Source organism: Homo sapiens, chromosome X, assembly GCF_000001405.40.
Source record: "Homo sapiens chromosome X, GRCh38.p14 Primary Assembly".
NCBI classification, from domain to species: Eukaryota; Metazoa; Chordata; class Mammalia; order Primates; family Hominidae; genus Homo; species Homo sapiens.
The window spans coordinates 26,137,139-26,143,183 of record NC_000023.11 but is presented as its reverse complement, the minus strand read 5'-3'; the positions used below and the strand labels follow the sequence as shown (position 1 = coordinate 26,143,183).

Below are 6,045 nucleotides of genomic sequence, written 5' to 3'. Positions count from 1 at the left end.
GGGATGATTGGATTTTGCAATGTGAGAAGGACATGAGATTCGAGAGGGGCCAGGGATGAAATGATACAGTTTGGCTATGTGTCCCCACCCAAATCTCATGGTGAAATGTAATCCCCAAGGCTAGAGATGATGTCTGGTGGGAGGTGATTGTATTACGGGGGTAGATTTCCCCCTTCATACTGTCCTGAGTTCTCATGAGATCTGGTTGTTTAAAAGTGTGTGGCACCTACCCCTTCTTTCTCTTCCTCCTGTTCCAGCCATGTGAGTCATGCCCGCTTTCCCTTCACCTTCCACCATGATTGTAAGTTTTCCGAGGCCTCCCCAGAAGCACATACCGCTATGCTTCCTGTATAGCCTACAGAACCATGAGCCAATTAAATCTATTTTCTTTATAAATTACCCAGTCTCAGATATTTCTTTATAGCAATGTGAGAACAACCTAATACAGGCCTGCTTTTAGTACTTTGGCCAGAGTCCTTTATTTTTAATTGTAATAGATTTTGCAGTAGTGAAAAGACTAGTGAATTAGACAAAAGATCTGCCTCAGATTGGGAGGAGTAGAAAAATGTGAGCATAGAATAATTCTGGCCACATTAGACCAGGGGTCTAGTCTCAGCTCTGTCACCTATTAGCCATGTAAACTTCAAATTACAAGTTTGGCAAATAATGTCTGATAAGCCCTAACTTGTAGCACTGTTGGAATCTATGTAATGGATATGAAGCACTTAGCAGAATTATGGAAAATATTGGGTCTTTAAAGAATGGTAGTTATATAATTATAATTATTTTTACCACAGATGATATCACCCTCCCCTCTTGGGAGATTTATTTTTATTAATTGAGGAAAATATGCAGCTTTCTAGGACAATTAATATCAAATTAGCCCATTATGTATTTAGCATATAAAAGCAAATAAAATTTCCCCATTTGAAGATAAGTTGTTTAATTTGCATGTAGGGAGTCTTCCCCAGTTGAATGAAACACAAAGTCCTAGAATTTGTGTCAAGGACCAACAACTTCCCTCCCAGGTGCCATTCCATCCAAACCACCCCTATTTTCATTCATTTCATCATCATCAAATATGTTCTCCCTTAGAGTTTGCCAAATTATACTGAAGATAACTTAATTAAAATATCCTTTTAAGATGAGTGTGGTGGTTCACACCTGTATTCCCAGTACTTTGGGAGGCTGAAGTGGGTGGATCACTTGATGTCAGGAGTTCAAGACCAGCCTTGGTGACACAGTGAAACCCTGTCTGTACAAAAATACAAAAAATTTGCTGGGTAGGGTGATGTGTGATTCTAGTCCCAGCTACTTGAGAGGCTAATGTGGGAGGATTGCTTGAGCCTGGGAAGTCAAGGCTATAGTGAGCCATGATTGCACCACTGTGTTCCAGCCTGGGGAAAAGAACCAGACCCTGTCTCAAAAATATGTCCTTTTAAATACTAGGATTTGGCTCTCTCAGTTCAGAGCAAAGGAGCCAACACAGTAGCTTTTCAGCATCCCACATCAAGGCAGTTTCACCATTATTTCTCAAAAATTTCCTGGAGAGGCTGTGCATAAAATAAGTAGATTGTGCTATGTGTTCAACTGAATGTGAACAAGAGCACAGGACACTATCCACTTCTCACTTCTGCCCCAAGAGATTTTTTTTTTTTTTTTTTTTTTTTTTTTAAGACAGAGTCTCGCTCTGTCACCCAGGCTGGAGCACAGTGGCAAGATCTCGGCTCACTGCAAGCTTCGCCTCCTAGGTTCAAGCAATTCTCTGCCTCAGCCTCCAAAGTAGCTGGGACTACAGGCGCCCTCCACCATGCCCAGCTAATTTTTTTGTATTTTTAGTAGAGATGGGGTTTCACCATGTTAGCCAGGATGGTCTCAATCTCCTGACCTCGTGATCTGCCCGCCTCGGCCTCCCAAAGTGCTGGGATTACAGGCGTGAGCCACTGCGCCCGGCCGAGGTTTTCTTCTGGTTTATTGATGTCACCAAGGTAACTCTTAAGTGGAGCTTTCCACTCCAGGGTTTTGTCCTTCAACAATGAGACACACCATCTGAGTGCCTGGCCTCTGCTCTCCAGTCCCAAAGCTTCATCTAGCCCACCACCCAGCTTAAATTAAAAGTATATCCCACTGAGAGACTCAAAGTTTCCAAAAGTCTAAAAGGGCCTTTCTTCAGAGAATTTGCACCTTACCATTTTCAGCCAGATACACTTCAGCACTTTTCCCAAACCCCTCTCTAACTCCTTACCTCCTTACTCCCTCTTGTTACTTGTCCTTTAGGTCTTAGAAGTATTTCACCATCTTCCATACATTATTACTGTTCATTAATTGTAAAAGTCTAAGCAGAGGTGGGTGTTTTGTATCCTGGTTTTCCCATTTCTAACAAAATTACTTTCAAAAATCAGATGTTGGATTAATATTGGAGGAATGAATGAGCCGGTAAGCATAGATGCTGGTTCATAAACATTTTATTTCTTCCTACCTTCTTCAGTAAGCTAAGCCAATCCAGGTATGACTTTTATTTTTATATAACAGACTAAAATGGAAAAAGAAAACCAAGAACTGAAAAGTTTACTTTTTCTCACCTATGTTTTGATCTCCAAAATTTTACTGCTAAATCATCTCACATTTTTTAAGGAAATACCTATTCCAATACTGTGTTTCCTTGTTCTGGCTCATTAAATATGAAAGAAGGTTTCCCAATTTGTTTTACAGAACAATAAAACTCCTACTCTTAAATAGCAATACGTGTGTAACCAAAGTCATTAATAAATATAGATTCTGAAGTTATCTAAAACTTCTATTATAAGCAACAACATTTGAAATATAACACCAAAAAAAAAAGAAAGAAAAAGATACAACTCCGAGTTACTATAGACTATTAACACAAAATGATATATGCTGTGTTCCCTCCAGACGCACTCTGGCCATTCACTACTTAGAATGTTGACTGCTCTTCTCTTCCACAAAGAAAACAATCTTCAGACTTGAACATTTGAAATGTAACCTAGGGGAAACAAAAAGATGGAAAAGTAAAACTCGAGTTATCAATATACAATAGGAATGCAAAGATGATATACACTTATTTCTTCCAGCCCCACCATGGCCCTCCACTATTAGAATGTTGACAGACCTTTTCGACCAAAAAGTGAAGAACAAGCCTCAGATTTCACTTAGCATGGGAGAAGCTGCTAGACGTGGTTCTGGAACGTGCATTTGCCATGGCAGCAGTATGAGCCCTGGCTGCAGCTCTGGCTTGGGTTCTCTGTTCCTCATCCCTCAAAGCCTCTTCATAGCAGGATGGGAAGGCACTAGGGACGGTATCATGTATCTTGGCTACAAACTCCAGGACTTTCATCTTGCTAGTTTCAGCGTGAGCTCTTGGACCCCACAGGAATTCATAGCGTGGAGGATCACTGTTGGGCACTTGCTGGTACTCCAGGTACTTTAGCTGCACCAAATCTTTGGTCATGACCTTCCTGGGATCCCCATAGAGGAAGTGCTTCCTATCGGCATATACACCCATCATATTCATAATTTCCCAGACTGCCTCTTCTGGGGCACGGTTGCCATTCAGAAAGATCACACCCAGTGCAATCATCAGGAGGCCAGTCTTGGGAATTTTTTCTTCATCACTGGTTGTTTCATCATAGGTGAGGTCTAATTTGCTGAAAAAGGCATAGTAGTGCCTGATGGGATCCACTTCCTTCAAATCAACACCAAGTGCCAGCTCCATGTGCTCAGAGGCTCTCTTGAGGATCTCATTGAAGTGACACTTATCCTTCCTGATAACAAACTTTATCATATCTCCCTTTGTAATTGGCTCTTTCGTTTCATACTTCTGAAGCAAGAAATGCACCAGCGACACTACTTTCTTGTTTAAAGGATCTTCTTTCCAGCCCTCAGCTTCCCTTGAGGAACCTAGACTTTTCTCATCTTGGCTGCTGGCACCTTCATTTGAACTGCATGAAACAGGTGCAATAGCATTGGTGGTGGATGGGGCTCCCTGAAGCGCTTCAGGGATGCTAGGTGTCTCAGCAGCAGGCAAATTCTGGGGTCTGTCACCAAAGAGAAGATAGGCAGGGGAGGGTGACTCTCCTTCTGCCACAGTGGCCTGCGTAGCTCCCAGATCCTGATTCTCACAACGAGCCTGGTGGCGTTTCTCACGGGCACGGAGCTTACTCTTCTGACCTCGAGGCATAATTACTCTTGTCAGGGACTACAGACAATAGTGCAGGCAGTTGAATTGATGAAGAGGGCACCCTAGAAGACGGAGGATGAGATAGTGTTCACAGCCTTGGTAGGGAGATTCTACCTTGGTCTAAGAATGGCCACCTCTCCTGGTTCTCTTGAGGGTATTGCTTTAGGAACCCATAAGGCAGGAGCGGGGTGGGACTGTTCTGTGGGGGGTTGTCACATCAGTTCTAACTCAGGATATTAATTTTACTCCTGACTACATCAGTTCTAACTTAGGATATTAATTTTACTTTAGTCTTTTGAGTCCTCCGTCTGTTGACTTGAGGCTGCCTCGCTTTAGACCATGGCTTCCCATCCCACAGATTCCCAACAGGAAGTAAGGGTGTTAGGCCTAACAGCTGCGCTTTGGGACACAGAGAGTTGAAAGTGGGAGCAGGACAGAGCAGAGAAGGATGGGTCTCTGTGAGGCAGCCTCTGTTCTGGGAAGAGTGTGTCTTGAAGGTCATAACAAATGATACTCACTTTGACACCTGCCGGATCCTGAGATTTATTTCTCTGGCCGCATGTTTCAGACCAAGGTTTCGCCCGTAACAGCTTGATGATGTGGAAGATAGGTCAAGAGAAACATGTCCGGCCACGCCCACTTTGCTCTCCCAGCTTAACGGCAAATGGTTCTGCGTTCGGGGGAGGGGCAGTTCTTAAAGAAATACATATATTTCTTTCATTGACTTTGCAGGCACTGGGACTTCTCTCTTTGCTAAGCTGAATCAGTCAGCCTCAGAAAAAGGATCATTTCCCTGAGTCCAGAGTAGGAAGTAAGGTGGAACCTGAGCCCAGCAGCCACGCCTGGGGACTCCCAAGATTGACAGTAGGGGCGGGGCTCTGTGGGGGTCCCTCTTCTTGGGTAGGTAATGCCCTCAGTCCTCACTCAGTGTCTTATCTTGACTTTTTGTAGGTGCTGGGCCACTTCTCTGCTGACTTGAGGCCATCAAATAAGGCACTAAATCTGTAAATAAAGATAATTGACATCTGTACAATATTATGTTCACCATATATAAACATATTGTATTGCTGTACTTAGGCATCCACCTAAGTCTATCAACACATTTTTATATTTGCTTTGATAGAGTGTGTATGTTTTTGTGAATGTTCTTTTTAGGTATATTTTGAATGTTGCTGCTCTTTTGAATGGTATATTTTTCATTCCATTTTTTTTTATTTTTAAAGCCCTCTCAAATTTATTGAAATAGATTTTCAGGATGGTACATTAGGAGAAAAATGAGGATGACAGAAACATCAAAGGATCTTTCATTCAGGCACTAAAAGTAATCCAGAAAAGAACTTCTCAGAGAAAATCTTAAGTAGCTAGGATCTTTCCTTATTTGGAACCATTACTTTCAATTTAATGCTTTGTATATTATGTTTGTTTTGTTTCTACTACACTGGCTGAGTCAGCTTTGAATTTCTGAAAAGCTTTACTTATGCCCCTCGCGTAAGATCCTAATCCAGTTCACAGTGAATTTCATGACTTAAAGTCTTGAGGTAGCACAAATGTTTTTACAAGATTCCTTGAGGCTTCTTTTTCTTTAACCTTTATTTTAAGTACAGGAGTATATGTGTAGGTTTGTTATATAGGTAAACTCGTGTCATGGGGGTTTGTTGTACAGATTATTTTATCAGCCTTGTATTAAGTCTAGCACCTATTAGTTATTTTTCCTGACCCTCTCCTTCCTCCCACCCTCCACCTTCTAAAAGGCCCCAGTATCCATTGTTCCGCTATATGTGTCCATGTGTTCCCATCATTTAGCTCCCACTTATAAGTGAGAACATGTGGTATTTGGTTTTCTGTTT

At 42.0% G+C, this 6,045-nt stretch overlaps 1 protein-coding gene across 1 annotated transcript; it reads right to left on the bottom strand.

Annotated features, from left to right (window-relative positions):
- MAGEB18 (MAGE family member B18) lies at positions 2,448 to 4,841 on the bottom strand. The gene is made up of 3 exons (NM_173699.4): positions 4,717 to 4,841; positions 3,131 to 4,260; positions 2,448 to 3,004 (listed from the first exon to the last, which is right to left on the bottom strand). Exon 2 carries the CDS (start codon positions 4,196 to 4,198, stop codon positions 3,167 to 3,169), a length of 1,032 nt encoding a protein of 343 aa, NP_775970.2. The 5' UTR covers positions 4,199 to 4,260; positions 4,717 to 4,841; the 3' UTR covers positions 2,448 to 3,004; positions 3,131 to 3,166.

Excerpts from the sequence above, each read along its gene's own strand:
- MAGEB18 (NM_173699.4), bottom strand. The coding sequence starts at position 4,198 with ATGCCTCGAGGTCAGAAGAGTAAGCTCCGTGCCCGTGAGAAACGCCAC.